At 48.6% G+C, this 21,244-nt stretch overlaps 1 long non-coding RNA gene across 3 annotated transcripts, besides 2 other annotated features; it reads left to right on the forward strand.

Annotated features, from left to right (window-relative positions):
* Positions 1,443-1,944: an enhancer, noted in NCBI's record as "H3K4me1 hESC enhancer chr1:157142571-157143072 (GRCh37/hg19 assembly coordinates)". NCBI's record gives its function as "activates a minimal SCP1, AML or CMV promoter by ChIP-STARR-seq in primed H9 embryonic stem cells {active_cell/tissue: H9 hESC(primed)}" and the evidence as "EXISTENCE:reporter gene assay evidence [ECO:0000049][PMID:30033119]".
* On the forward strand, positions 2,153-19,841 carry LOC107985211 (uncharacterized). Of its 3 annotated transcripts, none has more exons than XR_007066653.1 (4): positions 2,153-2,405; positions 11,522-11,914; positions 13,782-14,075; positions 15,623-19,841. It is a non-coding gene; the product is annotated as an uncharacterized LOC107985211 (long non-coding RNA). The 3 variants fall into 3 exon arrangements; XR_001738252.2 differs by lacking the exon at positions 2,153-2,405 and adding an exon at positions 6,791-6,905; XR_001738250.2 differs by lacking the exon at positions 2,153-2,405 and adding an exon at positions 6,791-6,905 and having other exon boundaries at positions 13,782-19,841.
* Positions 10,495-10,654: an enhancer, noted in NCBI's record as "active region_1887". NCBI's record gives its function as "activates an Ori minimal core promoter by ATAC-STARR-seq in GM12878 lymphoblastoid cells {active_cell/tissue: GM12878}" and the evidence as "EXISTENCE:reporter gene assay evidence [ECO:0000049][PMID:35858748]".
* Positions 19,842-21,244: the final 1,403 nt, after the last annotated feature.

Below are 21,244 nucleotides of genomic sequence, written 5' to 3' on the forward strand. Positions count from 1 at the left end.
AACCAGGGAGGTGTTTGAAGCCGGGGTTAGGGAGTCTCGGGATGTTCCTGAATGTGGGACAAACAGTCTCTCACCGTGACCATCTCGGAGTCTGTGTCCAGCAACAGCCCTTGTGGTTGGGAAGAGACTTTGTTAATGGGAAGAGGGTGTCCTGATTCTCTGGCTTGGTACCTGTTCCCAGAGATGGGTGACTTTTATTGTAAATGAGAGACTTGGCATTCTGCTTTGTATATAATCTCGACTTAATTTTGTCACCATGAATGTGTCACTAGGAATTATTAAATTTGTAAGAATGTAAAGTTTTTGAGCCTGAAGCAATGAGGATAAGACGGTGGACTTTGAAAATCTCTCTCTGAGAGGTAGTGTCTTGGGGGAATTAGTGCTCCTGAAAACAGGGATGAGAAGCTGTGGCCCTGGGGAGCTAATGGGGGGTCAGGAACCAGGAAGGTGATGTTTATCAGGATGGGGAGAGAGGGCTGGAAGAGCATCAGGAGCAAGATAAGGGCAACAAACGCTTTCCGAGCATTAATCTGAGGTTAAAATTATCGTCCCCATTTTACACATGATGAAACTGATGCTTAGAGAAGTTACATAATTTGATTAGGATCAAACAGCTAATATTTGGCAAGGCTGGGACCTGAACCTGGTTTTCCAGATGCCGGTACCCAGTCACTTTCCATAATGCCAAATGGCTTCTCAGAAACTCAACACCTCTTCCCTAAGTGCTTTCCCTGTTTTCCTCAAATCCAGGAACTGTTGGTCTTTTGGGCAATTCTGAGCACAGCCACTAAGTGGCGACATTGCCCGACTATGGCTCAGCCCTGTTTCTCCGGGGAAGAATAGGGGAGGGGAGGGGAGGGAGTCGGAGTTGCCCTGTTGTGTGTTGTGCTGTGTGTGGGGCTTTCTTCTATCTATTTAGTCCTCCCAGCAACCCTGCAGAGGAGGTATTATCTCATTTTCCAGATGAGGCCATTGAGGATCTGCTGGATGACAGAGCTTAGCGGTAGAAGCAGGAATGGAATCAACGTCCAGTTGGATTCCAAGTCCTGTCTCCAAGCATGCTGGGCTCCCAAAGGAAAAGCCTTTCTGTGCCCTCAGACTACACAGTCTTGTGGGGAAGTGGACAGTGGGGACCCCACGTGAGTTTTAGGCTGGGACAGCCCAGCAGTGAAGGAGGAGGCTGGGTGAGGAGTAACCAAGCCTTAGCTTTGGTGATTGATGGGAAGAATTGGGTTCTGAGGTGGAAATCAATTACAGTTACAATCTGCTGTGTGGATCCCCTAGAGTGCTGCTCTACTGGAGACCAACATTCCATCCCTCAGCAAGTTTCTCCTTCTGCTTGGGAAGAGGCTGTGTTTTCTTCCCGATGAAATGGTTGGCTGGTGTTGAGGGGCCATGCTATATGAAAAATGTGTCCTGCATATTTAATTATTAGATCCACTCACAGACAGTGTGTGCTGGAGCCAGCTGGAGCCGGCTTGTGAGCTGGTTTTGTGCATCTCCTCCCAAATCTGTGTTCATAGTCATGATGTTGGTGGTTGTAATTAGACAGAGTGGGAATATTTACACCATGGAAATTAGCAATTACTAGAAACCAGGGCTTTTTCCTCCTGTGGAGCCAGTGGTTAAACTGCTACCTGCTCACTGCTGCCCACCAGGCAGCAGAAGGTGCACATCTGAGAGGCAGGCGAGAGCAGAGAGATGGACCAGGGGCACCATGGATTTGCGGCTCCCATGTCATACTTACTTTGGGATCTGAGTAGAATTGCTGCACATTTAAATGGATATTTTCCCGCCTCTCATATTTTTTTGCTGAGGGCAAATAACTGCATTTGAGAAGTTCAACCTGCATTTGATGCGCCTCCTCTGGCAAGCAAGATGGCTGATGCTGGAGTGTGTCTTGGGGCCCAGCCCTGAGCTGGAGCCCTGCAGGCTCCTAAGGAGGTGGGCACCACACAGCCAGGGTGGGCTGCTGTGTCAGCTATGGAACAATAGCACACACCTGACTGCTCAGGGCTGCCTGAGAACATTTAAGGGAGAGGAGCTCTCCTTCATTTTACCACAGAACGTGGGCCCCTTGTGGGCTGAGATGTCTGTCAGAAGGGGAGGTGCTGAGTGAGGCTGTGCTCTCTTTGAAACCACCTAGGGGCTCAGTGACAGCAGCAGGTGGTGACTGGACAGGAAGGGAAGTCTCCTCCAGTGCCAGGCTCAGGTGTGCTCAGTAAATATGTGCTGCATGACAATCAGAGCAGGCTGCCGCCTGTAGCCTAGATGGAAGCTGCTTGTCTTGTTCCAGAGCATACATGACACCCTCAGGGTCTTCATGGACAACAGCTAAGAGTGCTGGGAGAGCCCAGAGCACCTAATTCACCTGGGGCAGGTCGGGGACGGCTCCCCAGGGCCAGGTGAGCTGCATGTGGAAGGGGCAGCAGACGTTTGATAGGGGATGGCAGGGAAGGCTCTTACTCAGGCACTGGGTGCAGGTGGGCAGACTGGAGGCTGACGGGGCATCCTTCTGTGGTCCATAAGGAATGGGGCTAACCCCTGTAAATGAGGAGTTGTTTTCCCAGTGAACAGCTCCTGCTGGGCTCTCCCTTTCCTCTGTGCCCCATCGAGAGGGGGCTCAAAGGTCTGTGGGCACGTTCTGGGGTTGCAGTTGGGATCTGCAGAGACCACAGGCTTCCCTGGGGGGTGGAGCAGCTGTGACCTGAGTCCCTGGTGGGTTTGGAGGTTGGACTGGGTGATGTGGCCTGTCCTCCTCCTCTGCTGGATGAAAGAGAGATTCTGGAAACCAAGAACTGAGAAGGAACTCTTGAGATAAAGGAAGTCCTGCAGAAAGGCACCTGTCTGCTGTGGTTGGAGTGCGAATGTCACCAACACACTGACGTTGGGCGGGAGCTGGCCCTACCATAGGCCCAAGCTGTCTCTCCATCAGTGGGGCCTTTCCCAGGTTCAAAAGGTAACGTAGTTGGCATGATTGAGGTGGCGAAGACTAGGATGAAAACACCTTGTGAAATGAGACCATGAGCCCCGAGGGAGGAGGGCAGGGCTGGCCACCTCCACCTTAGAGTATGAGGGTCCCCAGTGAGACCACCGAGGCTTTTCAGGCCAGCATGTGTGCAGGGCTGTGCTGGGCGTGAGGCAGTGCAGGCCTGTTTGTGACTGGCAGAGTGTAGACGGAGGTGGCTGTGGTTGGTCCAGGGCTGCCTTGGGGCCCAGAGGCTCTGGATATGGAGCCACAGGCCTTGGTTCCTCTTCCTGGGGGTGGTATGAGGGAGGTGAGATGCCGCCTGGGACAGGCCTGGCCTCCCTCTCCCTTGGTGTGGCTCCTCAAGGTCTGAAGTCATCCTAGTGTGGCAGACTCACTTCACTGAGAGGGGACTTGAATTTGGAAAGACCATTGGTTTGGGAGGCCAGGGACCTGGTCCGAGGCCTGGCTCTGGCCAGTTACTCACTTTCCACACCTTGGGTTTACCAGCTCATCTCTTTGCAACCTCAGTTTCCTCATCTGTAAAATGAGAAAGTGATCATAATGATACCCATGTGCCCCTCACAGGTGACATGCCCCAATGTGACCATGGGTCAGACTCTCCCCATTCTTACCCCATGGAACTTAGTTCAGGGCAGGCACCTGTCTCATTGCCACGGACACAGGGGCCCAGTTCAGTGACCTGAGCATAGGACCTCTCATCAGCTGCCTTTGGGGGCTCCTGACCCCCAGAATATTTTTCTCTGGCTGCTCAGCTTCATGAGGTGAAGGTAGTTTCCAATTGTCTCACAAAGAATGGTGAGGCTTTTGACATTTTCTCTTTTTTGTTATAGTAAATAAATTACATAAGATATATTAGTTCCTTATGGCCTTCATACCAACACAGGTCAGATAGAGAATTTCATATTCCGTTTTCCATTACATCTTTTAGTGGCAGACGACAGCATCCTCTTTAGCTTTTTTCTTTAGGAGAAAATGTATTATGAAAACATACATTTTAGTTCCATGATTTTTTGGTAGAATGAAAGAAACAAACTCATGCCAGAGATTCCAGAAATGGTGTCCAGAGCCACAATGCAGAATTGGGCTGTGGAGAGAGCTGCCGCCTGTGCCGTGGACAGAAAGAAAACTGCAAGGTCAGGGCTAGGCGTGATGGCTCATGCCCATTATCCCAGCACCTTGGGATGCTGAGGCAGATGGGTCACCTGAAGTCAGGAGTTCAAGACTAGCCTGACTAACATGGTGAAACCCCGTCTCTACTAAAAATACAAAAATTAGCTGGGCCTGCTGGTGGGCACCTGTAATCCCAGCTACTTGGGAGACTGAGGCAGGAGAATTGCTTGAACCCGGGTGGCAGAGGTTACAGTGAGCTGAGATTGCATCATTGCACTCCAGCCTGGGCAACAGAGTGAGGTCAGGAGCTGCTGGTTGTGACCATGCCATTGCTGCCAGCCTTCCTTGCCCAAAACATGGCCTGCACCTTGCCTCCACCCCCATGTAACTCAGTCTCAGTAAAAGTTCTGTGTATGTGAAATGACCTGTGGGACCTCAGCTGAAATGTGTCTGAAAAATGTAGTTTTGAGCTTTTCATCTCCTGCAGTACAGGAAGGCATCCTAGGTCAGGGGCATAATGGGTGTTGGATGAGCCTGTTTATAAAGGGAATGTGCCAGCTTGCCCTCAGAGATCTGCCTGAGCTTGGTTTGATCCCTGGCCAGGGCTTGACACAATGAAGCCTCCCTATGCTTCTGAAAATGTCCAACTTTACTGTCTCATAGTCCCCCACTTTCTTTCCGTCCCAGTCTAACCCTTCACACCTGCACCCACACCTGCTGTCTTGGCTCTGTTCTGCCCTGGTTTCCAAGAAAAAACCCAGTGGATCCAAGAAGGTGCTTGGTCATTGACTTCACTGCAGCTCTGGGTCTATCTCAGGGAGGCATCAGATCTCATTGGCCATAGACAGGCTTCCCCTCTTTGCTGTCACTTTCATGTCTGCCTCCTTCCACAGCCTGAGTCCTGACACAGGACCACCCTCCTGCCTGTGATGCCCTCTGGGCTGGGTGACTCAGTGACCCTTCCTCTAATTAGTTCTCTGAGGGAGCAGCCCGGCCAGGCTTGGTTCCCGTCACGCTGAGATCCTGAGGGTGAGCGCAGATGAGCTGCCCAGATTTTGATTCCACATAGGAAGGATATTCTAACTCTAGAACTTGTGGACTGCCTTTTGCAGTAACTTCCCCATTACCAGGTAGGGGAGTGAGAATCAAACCAGTCTTGAATATCTTCTCTCCTGGGAATCTGTGGAGCAGTTCTGGGTGAGAGCACAGAGTGCACTCAAGGTGACGTGCTTGGGGACACACAGTGGGATGGGAGAGTGGCTGTGATGTCAGCGATGAGTCCTGAGCTTGTGGTCAGGAGTCCAGACCCTGTGCCTTGATTAGCTGTGTGACCTTTCACAGGTTCATAAGCCCTCTGAGGTTTGGGTTTCACATCCATTAAATGGATTTAATACCCAGAAACCTACCTTGAGGTGGTCATGGGGTCAGGCCTGCAGCTCCAGCCTTCGGGGTGTTCTGCCTGTGCAGCCATCGGGGAAGACCAGGTGGGGAAAAGGAGGCGGTGCCTTGGGGTTAGGAAAATGATACTGCTCCCCCAGGGTAACGGAAGGGGGAACTCACAGATGTTGTGGTGTATCTAGGTCTGGAGAGAAGAGGCTCAGCAGGAGGTGGAGAGTTTAAGGCAGCTGAGGCTGTGGCAGAGGGAGTATGCAGCTCTCTGTCCTGCAGGAGCAGGGCTGGGAGGAACTTACAGGGGAAGTCATGGTTCAATCCAGCCATGGCTGAATGGCTTTCTGTAGACTGTCAGCTTCTGTGGGGGTCTGTCCTTACCCTGAGTGTATAGAAAGGTGACTAGCACTAGTGGGAACTGAGAAACCATATGGCCACCAGCAAAAGGTAAATGCCAGGATTTGCAATGGGGATGTGGGGAGTTTACACTATCCACGAGAACTTTGTTCTTTTGCCCATAGCTTCTTACTTAGGCAACTGACAGTTGAAGTTTTTGGAAAATCTAAACAGAAATCTGGCTGGGCACGGTGGCTCATGCCTGTGATTCCAGCACTTTGGAAGGCCAAGAAAGGTGGATTGCTTGAGCTCAGGAGTTCAAGACCAGCCTGGGCCACATGGCAAAACCCCATCTCTACAGAAATTAGCTGGGAGTGGTGGTGCCTCAGTTACTTGGCGGGGCTGAGGCGGGAGGATCGATGGGCCCAGGAGGTTGAGGCTGCAGTGAGACAAGGTTGCACCGCTGCACTCCAGTCTGGGTGACAAAGTGAGACCCTGTCTCAAAAAAATAAAAAAGAAGAAATTTAATTTACTAAATAAGGCAGTGACAAAGGAAAGCCACTGAACTCAGGAGTGGCATAGCCCAGCCTTGCTGTAAGAGGGTGACTTCTGTGCCTGACCATAGGCTGACACTGGTCACCAGGGCCACCTGGGGCAGAGCTGTGAACCCAGGGAAGCATCAGGGGAGGGTGTGGGAGGGAACACCAAGCTGGCTGTGCCCGCAGGGACGGGACAGTCTAACAAACTGCCAGGAACATCACAGAGTGAGGTTGTACTTTCATTTCTTCTGCAATTACTTATTGAGTGTGTGTGGTACTGTAGGGACTGGGAGGGGATGAAAGAGCTGAATGGCTTTCTCTAGACTGGTGGCTGTCTCCCCAGTAGTAACTTGCTAGCCCCACCCTTAAAGTGGGGAAGGGCTCCTGTGCTCAAACTTGTCCTTCCCTCTTGCCTTCGTTTCTTCCTATGTTTCTTCTGCAGCTGAACAAGCAGCAGGCAGCCTGCCATGGGGCCCTGCTCTGGGGCCAGTCCCTCTGCTGGGACTCAGGGCTCCTGGGATTCATCAATCTCCTCCTCAGTGAGTGCAGGGTTCCTGGGAAGGGAGGGCAGTTGGGTGGGGCTGGGCTAGCTGGGTCTGACCACTGGGTGGGCTGTTCAGGTTCCGCTGTCTTTGGGCCACAAAAAGAGAAAACCACTCTGTTATGATTTACAAATGCAGCATATTTGGTTGGAGCCCCAGGATAGAAATAACAAAAAGTCCTTTTGGTGGTGAGGAGGCTGGGAACCCTGAACTAGGGCAGTCTTGGTGGTATTGAGGGAACCTTTACCAGGGAGGTGGGGCCGCTTCTGCTGCAGTAGGAGGGTGGCCTGATACTGCCTGGAAAGAGGGATGGAGACAGACAAACTACCTGCCTGGAAAGAGGGATGAAGACAGACAAACTACCTGTCTCCTGGGGAAGAGAGGGTGGGAACAATACATTCCCAGCCAGGAACTCAGAGGTGCTCTGACGGTCTTTGCAGCTGTCCTGTGGAGGAGGGGCAGAACTAGAACCCTGCTGTCTGAACTGGAAGAAGCTCCTCTGTCCTGGGCTTCTCCGTTGAAAAAGGAGAGTGAATATGAACTCCCCTGCCTGGGCTTGGGGCTCACAGGTCATCACAAAGGAGAGGACACTTGGAGGTCTCAGGTTTATCTTAAAATTGTTTGTGTAATTTGCAATAGTTTTCTTTTCTTTTTTTTTTTTTTTTTTTTTTTTTTTTTGAGATGGAGTCTCGCTCTCTCACCAGGCTAGAGTGCAGTGGTGTGATCTTGGCTCACTGTAACCTCTGCCTCCTGGGTTCAAGAGATTCTCCTGCCTTAGCCTCCTGAGTAACTGGGACTACAGGTGCCCGCCACCACACCCAGCTACAGTAGAGACGGGGTTTCACCATGTTGGCCAGGATGGTCTCGATCTCCTGACCTCGTGATCCGCCTGCCTCAGCCTCCCAAAGTACTGAGATTACAGATGTGAGCCACTGCGCCTGGCCAAATAGTTTTCATTTAAAATATTAACCAGCATTTATCTTTGCCTAAAATGAATACCACAGGAGGATCCCTTTATTGTCCCTGAGAGTTGCCTTTCCCTCCACCCTGAAATGCTGCTCAGGTCCTGGAGGCCGCAGGTGAAACCATGTTTATCACAGCACTGTTGTAGGGAAAAACCCTGGAAAAAAGAGGAGGTGCCCATCAATTCATGAATGATTGACCAAACTGAGGAGTATCTGTACCATGGAATATTATGGAGGCTTACAAAAAGAAATAGTTCAGTTTCCTGGAAGGAGTTTTAAATTTTTTTGAAGTATGAGGTATGGAATCCTAGCAGCAAGTTCAGGAAATGAAACACAATGAAATCCTTACTTTATAAAAGGAAAAGCAGCTTCCAAAATTTAAGGGTTTACATCTTTACAGTCACATGTTTTTAAGACTATATTGGCAATGTGGAAGGAATCAGTAGATTGCTAACATGGGCTACAACAGAGCATGAATTTGGGCAGGAAAAATGGAGGGAGAAAAAGCAGAGAACACAGGGAATTAAGCAAAAAAGGAAACTGAAAGAAAGACTGTCCTAGTCTAGGCTGTATATCACATTCATGACTCTATTTAAGATTATATGTTTGTATATACAATGAAATTAGGTCAAAATTAATGACAAAATAAGACATAGTAAAGATGAATTTTTGTGGAAGTTTTATGGTTATAATTTTTTTTGTTTTAATATTCCAGCCAATACTTGAACTTGCAGGGAATTATATGAAATTGAGCAGATTAGAGAGCATTTGTAAAACAGGATGTCTTGAAAAAACAATGGGCTTAGAAATAGGGCTACGTCCTCTTTACATAGGTAACCTTCTGTAGTCAGCAAAATGTAGGCGTTCTCCACTTCTACAATGTTATTTACCTGGAAATATGTTCAGTTGTATAGAGTTTTCCTTGTAGGCATGGGGGTTGGAAGATTTCTGAAGATACAAAGAAAAATAAAGAAAGAATGGAAGGAAGGAAGGGAGGGAGAGAAAGAAGGAAAGGACTTAGAATTTCTCATTTTAGGGGTAGGAGATCCGTGTCCAGACAAAGAAAGTGATTCTCTCAGGAAATTACTGGGAAAGAATGAAATTGGTTGTCCCAGTGGTGTGGTACTGAATGAGACAAGACCTCTTGCTGTGGAATTTGGTCAGAGGCTGTCCGCAGAAGGAACATCATTGTGAAATTGCTCTGCGTCCTTGCAAGAATCCCGAAGCTCCATAATTGGATGCATTTTTCCTTTGGTTTCTGGATAGTCCTTGTTCCAGTTCACCCTTGACCCAGGGAGGAAGATGGGGATGAAGCAGTGATGATGTAGTGGAAATGAGGAATTTGTCCTCATCATTCTTAAACTCTAACACCCTTCCTGAACATGTGTTTGGATGGGGAAGTGTGGAAGGGAAGGAGGGAGCCTGAGGGTGGCTCAGCTCACATATAATTTCCCAGAGACAGAGGCAGTTGCAGGTGAGGGTGGTCCTTGACTTCTGGGGAGCCCCTGACCATAACAATAACAAGATTTACTGAATGCCCACCCAGTGTCTGCCAGCAGGGAGTTGGAGGAGAAAGGGTCTTTGCATTAGGGGCTCCAGACAGAGACATGAGACAATGGAGATGGTACCAAGAAGCGCAGTTTGGGCATCAAACATGAATTGTTGGTTTGTGAGTGTGGTGATGGGAGCTATGTCAGACAAATGGACTATATATATATATATATATATTTTTTTTTTTTTCTTTTTTGAGACAGGGTCTTACTTTGTCTCCCAGGCTGGAGTGCAATGGTGTGATCTTGGCTCACTGCAGCCTCGACCTCCTGGGCTCAAGTGATCCTCCAGCCTCAGCCCCCCAAGTAGCTAGGACTACAGGTGTGCACTACCATGCCTGGATAAAAATGAACAATCTTTTATGCTGATGACAGGATTTAAAATTTTATACAGTTTAAATGAATGTTTAACTCCACCTTGTAAATGACCACCTGCTCCCTGGCTTGTTTTTTCTTCTTCAGGATTAGCATCTCTGTAGATCAGAGAGCTCCTGCTGCCTTCCTTCCCTCTCTGAATCTTCATCTTCCTCCCTGCTATGCTCATCATCCACCTTCTGGGGCAGATCCTCCCTGGCAGCCTGAGGGCTGAGCCTCCTCTCTTTCTGGTTCCCAGTTCCCTCGTCCAGGAAGTGGGGTCTGTCCAGGCTGCCTGTTTAACCCTCTGCTAGCCAGAAGTCCCTGCTCTGCTCAGCCACTGAAAGTAGCTGCTTCCCCTTTTCAGGAGAGGGCAGTTGGGGTGGAGACCCCGGCAGCTGCTCAGGGCCTGGTGGGCTCAGACGACAGTGCAGCTGAGCTCCGGGGAGGGCAGGTGAGGATGGAAGAGCTCATGGGCAGCGTCCTGCAGGGGAGGCCCTGGGCTGGGGGAGGAAATTGGGCTCCAGGTGTGGCTCTGCCCTGTGTGACTCAGGACAGGTCTACCCCATAGAGAGTGCCTACTCTGTAATAAAAGCAGGAGCTTGGACAGATCATCCTTGAGTCCCCTCTCAGCAGTGAGGTTCTGGGATTTGGTGACTCCTGTGGCTCTATCAAGGTCTCTGCTCTGTCTCCCCATCCTGTCCTGTCCTATCCTGTGGCCTGACGGGCACTGACAGCCAGTGAGCCTATTTCAGGCTTCTTCAGAGAGAAGGCCCTGGGTGTCCCTGTGGCCACTTCCTCAGCCCTCAAGGGAGGAAGGGACTCCTCCTCTCTCAGTCCCCTCCACGTGACCCTCTGCTTTCTCTGCCTCTGCTCCTGAGAGGGGTCTTCGGGGTCAGCCCTCACTCAGGAAGGCCTGCTGCAGCTGTGGCATTTAGAAGCCACTAATACAATCCTCAGCCAGACCTTTTCAGTTTCTGTCTGCTCAGCAGAAAACACTAATTTCTATTTCACTGGTTCCAGGCAATGCTGCAAGAAGTAAGACAAACACTGTTTTGGCCAGAATTATTCCTGAAAATCTGTTAGGAAAGTGCCATACAGGAGACTGGAGTGTTATCTCCCAGCAAGTCTAATGAATGCCCACATTTATCCAGGTGGAAAAAATGGCTGTTTCTTTGAGCTTCAGATTAAATAGAACACTTTATTATTATTATTATTATTTTTGAGATGGAGTCTTGCTTGTTGCCCATGCTGGAGTACAGTGGCATGATCTTGGCTCACTGCAACCTCTGCCTCCTGGGTTCAAGCGATTCTCCTGCCTCAGCCTGCTGAGTAGCTGGGATCACAGGCGCACACCACCATGCCTGGCTAATTTTTGTATTTTTAGTAAAGACAGGGTTTCGGTTTTACCATGTTGGCCAGCCTGGTCTTGAACTCCTGACCTCAGGCGATCCACCTGCCTCAGCCTCTTAAAGTGCGGGGATTACAGGCCTGAGCCACCACATCTGGCCAGAACACTGATGTTTAGTGTCCATTTTTATACCAAAATTGTACAAAATACTTAGACATTACACTCCACAAGAACCAGGACTTGCTCTCAGAATTGCTTCAGACTTGTTGTACTAGCTTTATTCCTAAAATCAAGGGAGTATATTGGATAAATTTTACTAAAATAGAAAGTTCTGTGGTTCTCTCATTTGTTCTTGCTGAGGAAATACTCATGTTTCCTGTTTCCATGCCCTAGGTGTCTGCAGCACAACAGCCAACACTTCTGGAGCACATGGCCCTGCAGTGAAGGATTCTGGAGCTCACATTTGTCTGAAGGGGATCCGAGGAGGTTCTGTGTTGTTGAATGTGATTGAGAAGCTCAGAGTAGATGTAGACGCCGAGCTGGAGGAGGTTGTATGGACTTTGGGTACTCTGTCAAATCATACACAGGTGCTGTGAGTCCACAGGGGGGCCGACTCTCCAACCTGGGTCGGCCTTGAGGAAAAGTTCAAGCAGAGGGTCCATGTGCCTAGCGTGTTGTCTCTGAGGATTGAGAACCTGGCCCCTGAAGACAGTGGGCAGTACATGGCCATGATCCATTTAACTGGGGGACAATTATCTGGCCAGGTTTTCTACCTCACTGTCTATGGTGAGTGACACCCCTCCCTCCCCCATCCTCTGGCTTACCTGCTTTTTTTGTCCCTAGAGTGTCACATAGGCCCCATGCAGGGTTCCATTCAGACACCAGTCTTCAGACTCCATTTTCTCCACTAAAATAAGGCACATGAGGTCCCCAGAGATACAGAGCAGAGCTGAGATTCACAGCAGGAAGAAAATCTCTTCAGTGTTTTGGGACAGGAAATGGAAATTCAGGAAAATAGCAATTTTTCCAATAACATTAATCATCCTATATACGATTAACATTAATTTGTATAGTAGTTTTTTATCGCTAATGTAACAAACTACCAAAAATTATTGGCTGAAGGCAACACAAACTTATTATCTCACTGTGCTGTAGGCTAGAGATGTGACACAAGTATCCATGAGCTAAAATGAAGGTGGTGGCAGGGCTGTGTTCTTTCTCAGGGCTCCGGGGAGAAGCCATTTTCTTGCGTTTTTCACCTGCTAGTGGCTGCTGGCGTCCCATGGCTCATGGCCATCTTCCTGTATTTCCTAATAGAACACTGATGTTAGTGTTTGGGAATTCAGAATCATCTCCCTATTTTAAGGTCAGCTGATTAGCAACCTTAATTCCATCTGGGAACTTAATTCCCCTTGCCTTGCAGCTAACTTATTCCCAGGTTACCAGGATTGGTCCTAAACATTTTGGAGGCCACTGTTCTGCCTACCACAGTTGGGAATCCCTGTGAATGAAGTCCTCCCCTCTCACTCAGCCCCAGCCCAGGGCCAGCCTCAGTCACATGAGCCACCACAAATCTGGCTCTCAAAGCCTCCGTAGGCGTAGGAGAAAGTTTACACTGCGACACTTCTTAGGAAACTAGTTTAGCCAACTCTTTCTTTCCCTAAAGTTCCTCTCTGCATGGGGGAATATCCTGCCATGGAGAGAGTGGCTTTTGCAGCTTTAGGTCCCATGTGATTTCTCAGGCTGGCCTGTGAATCATATTCCTCTCTTCTGTCTGCACCACAGGTTCAGTAGCATGTTCTTTTGTTGTTGTTGTTGTTGGTTTTGAGACAGGGCCTTACTTTGTCACCCAGGCTGGAAGGCTGGAGCACAGTGGCATAAATACAGCTCACTGCAGCTTCAACTTTCTGGCTCAAGCGATCATACCACCTCTGCCCCCACAAGTAGCTGGGATTCCAGGAGACCGCCACCACACCTGGCTCATTTTTGTATTTTTTCTAGAGACGGGGTTTCACCATGTTGTCCAGGCTGGTTTCAAACTCCTAAGCTCAAGCAATCCGCCTGCCATGGCCTCCCAAAGTGCTGGGATTACGGGCGTGAGCCACGGCTCCCAGATCCAGTGGCACTTTCTAACCACATTCAGAGTCATTGTTTCTATTCGTGACCACTGCATCCTCCATAGACACGTCCACTTTTGGGAGCATGGGCCTTTCTCTGGCCTCCCAGAGCTGACCTGATGTCCTGTCCCTCAAGGGTTGTGCGGTCCCCAGCTTGGCCTCAGCTGGGGATGCAGGTGAAGGAACCTGGGCCAGAATAAGCCCTTATATCCCAGACTTTTTCTTTCCTGGAAAGACCCTAATTTAAAAAAAAAAAAAGGCTCTGGGAGGGTTGAGTCCAGCTTCTATTTTCTTTGGGACAGTTTTAAGACCTATTCAATCTAGGAAACCAACATGGAGCTGAACTCAGTGGCTTCCCTTGTCATTTGCTCAGTATTTGGCCTTGAGCAAATTGTGTTTTATCTGTAGAATACACCCACACCCACTTTTCCTATAGGGAGCATGCCATGGCTTTAATGAGAAAATGATAAGAAAGTGTGATGTGCAATGTTCTCCACAAATGTGAGGTGTCTTTCTTCTGTCTCTTTCTTCCCCAGAGCCTGTGCCTCATCCTGAGATCCTGGCCAAGTCACTGTCTATCATACCAGGCTTGTGTAACATCACCCTGGATTGTAGGGCTCCAGGAGCCACAGAGGACCTGAATGTGACTTGGGAGAGCAAGGACCTCCTCAGAGAGCTGGAGCACAGAGAAACACGAGGACCAGCCCCTAACCCCTGGATCCTGGCTGTGGACCTGCCCCTGAGCCAGCGGAACAGCAATCTCACCTGTGTGGTCAGCAACTAGGTAGATCAGAAAGATGTAACCTTACCTTGGGGAAGCCTGTGTCAAGGTGAGTGGTGAGTGTAGCCTGCAAGATAGGAGGGGCTTCCTGAGCTCAGGCAGTACTGGGGTTTAATGGTTCTGGGCTCTATTCTCCACCATGTGCATTAGCACCACCTTCCACCTGCTCACCACACACAGCAGTGTGGGAGTCACATCCACCTTGCTTCTGCCCTTAACCATCTCTCCCACCGATGCCCTCCTCCCCACAACCCCACCATGTCCTTATTGGTAAAGGCAGCAGCCTTCCGGGAGCTCTCCCACTCCATCCATCCTCCACTGGGCATCCAGAGTGGGCTTTGAGAAAAGCAGGACAGCTTGTGCCATTGTCTGTGTCATCTGTGGGAACCTGATTCCAGCCACTCTCCGTATGATTCAGAGCTTAGATGCACCTCTGTCCACGTTGCTAGCCTCATCTGCTCTCTTCACACCAAACTGCTTGCTATAGTTCTCTGAATGTATCCTGCCATTGCAAGCTTCTGGGCTTCTGCACATGCTGGATTTTCTGTATCAGCCATCCCAAGTCCTGTGTCCTTCACTTCTGCTTCATGGGGTGAAGACCATGTAAAGGCCCCATGTTTGGTTTAAAGTTCTGTTAATAAGTTTGAACAAGGGCTTCCTATTTTCATTCTGCATAGGGCCTTTTCAGTTATGTATCCAGTCCTGAACTTAGGCAGCAATCCTTTAGGGAGCGTCCATGGCACCCCACACAGAGTAGTAGTGGTGGGGTTATGTCTTTGCTCTGTAGATGGCAATGCCCTCAGGCAGAGGCCACCATCATGTTCTCCTTTGAATCCCTGTGCCAAGTACAGCTTCTGGCAAAGTTTGCTCACAATCAGTGTTCATTGGATGAATGAATGACTTGGTACCCTGGTGCAGTCACATCTTCTCTAACCTTTCCTCCAGGAGCTGCCGGAGAGCTCTGATGTGTCAGCATCCCTTTAAACCACCCGTTACCTCCTCCCCTGTCCTCCATCCTGGAGTGTTCAGTACTTAGCGTGACAACAAGGCCCTCTGGGCACAGACTCCTGCCCCCTCTGACTCTCCTTGCCATGGTTCCTCCCTGCCCTGTTCCTCTCCTGCTGCAATGGGGTGCTGGCAACTCCCAGGGCTGGTGTTTTGACACAGTAATTTCCTAAGTGTGGTGCTCCTTCTTCCTGGAATGCCCCACCCTGAATATCTGAGAAACTCTTACTCCCGCTTCAAGCCTCAGTTTAGCCAGCACCTCCTCTGGGAGGCCCTCCCTGATGACCTTGTACAAGGTGTAAACCTCTATTGCAGCTGCGATCCCTCTGTCTGGCAGTTGGTATTTTCTGTCTTCCCTCCTGTGTGCTGGGCTGCTGTGGACATCGTCTTGTGCATCTCAGCATTCCTGGCACCAAGCAACAGCTCTTAACCAGTTGAATGAATGGACTTGTCATGCTCCTCCCTCTGCAGCTTCTGCACCAGGCTCCTTCCCACTGCTCCACCTGCTTTCTCCCTCTGTCTCCTCTTGGCAATGGTTATGTCAAGTTATTTCCTGCCTTAGCCTTTTTCACTCTCTGTCTGGGAGAACAGGTTCATGTAGACTGGACACGGCTCTCCTTCGCGAGATATTCTTGGAGTCATTGCATTTGTGCTGTTGATCCTGGGAGCTGGGCTATACCTCTGGAAGAAATGTGGGAAGAAGAAGAAGAAGAAAGATGAAGAGGAAGAAGAGGAAGAGGAGCAGAAGGAGGAGGAGGAGCGGGAGGAGACAGGAATAGGCAGGTTGCATTTCTCCATCGAGGCCCAGATATCTCCCCTCCCCCACTAGAATCTGGGTTCTCTTTCTCCTGAAAGAATGTCATTGTTTAGCTATATGAATAACCCTAGATATAGCATCGAGTTAACATGTCCAAGATATTTGTTACTGGAAAAAACTGAACAGCAATGCATGGTATGATTTAATTTTTGTAAAAGTGTATAGATAGGTAGATAGAAAGATAAGCACAGAATAAAATCTATACTACATGACAGATTACCAACAGTGGCTCACTCAGAGGTGAGGAATTCCTCAAGGTTTGCTTCTTTTTAGTTTATATATATAATGTAATATTTTATGTTATTTGAATCTTTTACAATGCTCAGTCACTGTGAAGTCAAAGGAAACAATTAAGACAATTTTGTAGCTTAATTCCATTTAGCTAATTAATCCCCATCTCTGTGGATGCACCTCATCTTTTCTGCTGACTGTGACATGGGGTAAAGACCAAACTCTATTCCACCCCATGCAGACACCATATACCTTTCCAGTTGCCATGAACAAATGAGAACAAATTCATGTAAAACAAAGCGATTCATTCTTTATACACATCTGGGAGGGAAAGCAGCTCCAGAAAAGGCCATCTCTCAGGATGAGGGCAAGGGCGGGATTTCCTATAGGAAAGCAACAAAGTTTCAGGAGGAAAAGCAAATCAGTTAAATCAGTGCCTGACTTGTCAGAGAGCATTGGTTGATGTCTGACACTCAGCTTTAGGCATGGCGGAGCCCCAAGTACATTTGTGAAGTTTGGGCAGTTGTGTTCCCATTCTCCATCAAGCTGTTGCTGTTGTCGTTGTTTTTATTCCCACCAATGTCTGGAGCCCCAGGTGCCCTGGTTCCTTCTTGGGGCCTTGACTGCTTTATCCTTACCTTCCAGATTCAATCTTCAGCAGCAGGCAAGTCCTCAGGCTGCAGCTCAGGGCTCGGGAAATTTCCTTCCTCAGCCCATGCCCAGGAGCCTACACCCACCCTGTACCTTTCCCCCATGATAGCCCTTTCTGGAAAACCTTTCCCTGTACCTCCACTTTGGAATTAGGGTGCAATAAGACCACATACTTGCCACAAAAGGTATATAGTTTTTTTAATTGTACCTATGAAGCAGCTTTTCTTTCCTTATTTTATTTGTATTGTGCAGTAGTTGTACATTTTTAAAAAGGAAAAATGGTGCAAAACAGCAATCCCTTGCCCTTCCTTCTCCACATCTAGACTGGCTCTTCAATGAGAGTCACTTTCAACTATAGCCTTTACGTCCAAGTTTCTCAATAATGTGCTGATGTTATTATCTTCAGTTCAATTTTAGGCACTAACTATTGACTTTTCATTATGATAAGTGAGGATTTTCCTCTCTCACATGTCTTCCCTCCTTTATCCTCCATCCAACTAATATAGATATGTGACATTTTTGGTTTAAATCAATAGTATTTATAGTCTACAATTCTACAAACAGCTAAAATTATTTAGCATTTTTATTGTAGGCCAGACACCATTCTAAGGTGCCTTACATCCAATTACTAATTTAACATGTCACCATCTCTATCATATATTATAATTATCTCCATTTTACAGATGAGGAAATTGAAACATCTCTTGGTAATTTGTGCAGCGTTCTGAATCTAGGAGGTGGCACAGTTGGGATTAGAAGCCAGGTAGTCCGGCTCCAGCATCCATGCTTTCAACTGCTAGGCAATCCCCAAACTGAAGCCTGCTATTGGGAGCTTACTATTGTTCTTGCTGCTAGGGATACAGAAGTGAACGAGACAAATACCCAGCTCTCATAGAGCTTGCATTTCAGGAGGACACTGGAAATGAACAAATGCCCAAGTAGAGAGAGAAGGTCAGGTGGTGGCCAGTGGGTGGAGATGAAGCAAGCGGAGGGAAGCAGGAGGGCAGCTCTTTTCTGTGGATGCTCAGGGAAAGCCTCTTTGGAGAGGGAGCATTTTAGGCCTGAGTCGAGTGTAAGAACGATTTCAGTGAGCAGGAAGAGCCTTCCAGGCAGAGGAAAGGGCATGTGCAGATGCCTTCAGCTAAGGCTGGGCTGAAGTGCTGCAGAAGCAGTCACAAGGCCCCCGTGGCTGGAGTCAGTGATGAAGGGGACCTTGAACTGAGGTGGGAGAGTGGCCTGGGCCTTCCTGTGTTAGGGTTAGGGAACTGAGATAGCTGAGGTGGGAGAGTGGCCTGGGCCTGACTGTGGTGGGGTCTGGGAACCGGGAGAGCTGAGGTGGGAGAGAGGCCTGGGGTCATATCTTGTTGGTCCTGGAAAGCCAAGGTAAGGGCATGGATTTTTTTTTTTTTTCCAGATGGAGCCTCCCCCTGTCACCCAGGGTGGGGTGCAGTGGCACAATCTTAGTTCACTGCAACCTCTGCCTCCTGGGTTCAAGCAATTCTCCTGCCTCAGCCTCCCTAGTACCTGGGACTACAGGTGCGCGCCACTGCGCCTGGCTAATTTTTGTATTTTTAGTTGAGACGGGGTTTCACCATGTTGGCCAGGCTGGTCTCGAACTCCTGATCTCGTGATCTGCCTGTCTCCACCTCCCAAAGTGCTGGGATTACAGGCGTGAGCCTCCTCTGTGCCCGGCCAAGGACATGGATTTTATTGTCAGTGGGACGGGGGTGTTGACAGAGGATTGTGAGCAGCAGAGGAGGATAGTGTGACATTGATTTAAAGGCCCACACTTTTGGCGTGTGTTGAACCCACTGCTTGGCATCCAGGCTGGAGCCAGGGAGGCAGCTGAGGAGGCCCAGCAGGAATCCAGGATGAGACACTGGTAGCTTGGCCTAGAGTGGAAGTGGTGAGAGGTGGGCTAATTCATGACACATTTTGGAGAGTCAACAGGATTTGCTGTCGGGTTGGATGTGGAGTATGAGAGGACAAGGAGTCCAGGGCGACCCCAAGGATTGTGGCCTGAGTGCTGGGGGGATGATGGTGCTGTTTACCGTGGTGGGGAGTGCTGGGGAAGGAGCAGGTTGGAGTGAGACTTTGAGATGCACCAAGGCCTCCAGGGGAACTGTGCAGGCATTTGGGCATATGAGTGTGGGCTCGGGGGGAAGGTGAGCGTAGGCAGGGGAGTCATGAGAGCAGGGACCGGGTGCTGGAATGGTTAGAGGGTGTGAAGACAAGACTGAGAAGGAGCAATCAGTGACACAGGAGGAAAGTCAGGTGAGTCTGGCATCCAGGGAGCCAAGTAAAGAGAGTTTTTCTTGAGGAATGGAGTGATGCATTGTGCCCGAGCTTGCTGAGGGTCCAGCAGGGTGATGCCCGAGAGCAGCCCGCTGGAGTCAGCTGGGGGAACGCATGGGGACCTCCCAATGGCCAGCGAATTCTGTGGATTCAGCATCATTCTCCTTCCTCAGAGAAGGCGTCCCTGATCCTTATGCCTCCTCCTCTGCCAGTATCTGCACTTTCCCCTCTCTGTATTTCTCATGATAGATAGAAATTTTGGCATTTCCTTGTTTAATGCCTCTCCTCCACTCGACTGCACATGGCATGGACAGGAGCACGCACGCTGCACTCATCTGAGTCCCCAGTACGTAGCGCTGTGCTTGGAACACAGGCCGTGCTCAGTGACTATCTCAGGAATGGATGTGGAGTCAGCCCCCATGAACGGGGACTCCGAACAGAGCCCAATCAGTTTTCAGTTCTGCTTTCGTAGAGTCAGCAGTGGGAACAGGGTTTTTGTTTGGGACCTAACATTCCTGGGTAAGAGAGGGGAGAAGCCTCACACACAGACCTGGCCGGCCTCTGTGGAAATGATGTCTGGACATGCCTGAGTATCTGACAGGAGCTGTGGTAACAAGAAAGAACATGGGCTCAGGAGTGGCAGCACTTTAAATAAGATAACCTTTATATTTTATAAAAGTTTTTCATTTACAGAAACATTGGGCAGATAGTACCGAGAGTCCCACAGACTCCACACCTAGTTTCACCTTTTATCAACATCTTATGCTATTAACATCTGTTACAATTAATAAACCGATATGGATACATTCTTATGAACTCAAGTCCATACTTTCTTCAGACGTCCTTAGTTTTTACGCGATGTCCTTTTCTGTTCCCAGATCCCACCCTACATACCTCTTTAGGCTCCTCTGGGCTGTGACAGCTACTCAGACTTTCCTTGTTTTCGCTGACATTCGTGAGGGGTACTGGTCAGGTGTTTTGAAGAATGTTCCTCAATTGGGATTTGCCTGATGTTTCTCTCATGATGAGACTTGGAATTTAGGTTTTGGGGAGGAGGATGACAGAGGTAAAGTGCCATTTTCATCGCATCATTTGAGGGTGCATGCTGTCATCGTGACATTACTATTGATGCTGACCTCAACTATCTTGACAAAGGTAAAGCTTGCTGAGTTTCATCCATTGTAAAGTGACTCGTTTTTCCCCTCTTCCACACTGTTCTCTTTGAAAAGAAGTCACCGTGTGCAGCCCAGACTTAAAGAGTAGGGAGTTAAACTTTACCTCCTTGAGAGTGGAATGTCTTCACACATTACTTGGAATTTTCTGCACAGAAGATTTTTTCTCCATTTACTTGTTTCCCATTTATTTATTCAATCAATCATTCCCCTTTTTTAATTTCTTTATTTCTTTCTTTATTCAATCAATCATTTATTTGTATCAGTATAAAGTCATTGATATGTATTTTATGCTTCGGGCTATAATCCAAAGCCACTATATTTATTTTGTAGCTCAGATTGTTCCAGTTTGGCCATTTGGTGCCGTGTTCTTTTGACACAGCCTCATCACTGTGTGCCTTTTTTTTTGAGGACTTTCTTACTTGGACTCTCCAAGATGCTCCAGGCCCATCTTGTATATTTCCTGCTTCAGTTCTAGAAGCAGCCATTTCTCCCAGGAGCTCTAGTTTGGTTTACTGCGGAATTGCTTTAGAAACCAAGATCTGGGCAAGAGGGTCCTTGTTTTCAAGCATTAGGAACGCAGAGAGTGATTTCCCATCTACAGGCAAGATTCCACCTAAGTCCATAAAATCTTATCATTTGCCTCCTTTGTTGGATATGAACAGACTTCAAGGTCACAGATAGGTCAGAAATTCATCACAAACATCTTTAGAAGGGAATGAAGGTAGTTAAAATAAGTCTGCTAAAGGAAATGTCATCTGGGCCCCCAAAATATGAGCAAGTTGAAGTATTCGGCAAGGAAAACATAGGAAGAGTTTGTTGTTTGCTACCAGACAAGCTCAGTAATAGTTGTCCTAGCACAGACGTTATTGTAAAGGTCTGTTGATAAAAACAATCCAGATTGTACTGCAAGTGTAGGACAAGAACAAGTGCTTTGGGGCCAGATTGATTTGGATTTGAATCCTTTCTGTTATTCGTCTGCCTGGAAGCTTGGATAAGTCACTTTGCTTCTCTAAGCCTCACTTTCTCATCTGTAAAGTGGATATA

This window comes from Homo sapiens, chromosome 1 (genome assembly GCF_000001405.40).
Source record: "Homo sapiens chromosome 1, GRCh38.p14 Primary Assembly".
NCBI classification, from domain to species: domain Eukaryota; kingdom Metazoa; phylum Chordata; class Mammalia; order Primates; family Hominidae; genus Homo; species Homo sapiens.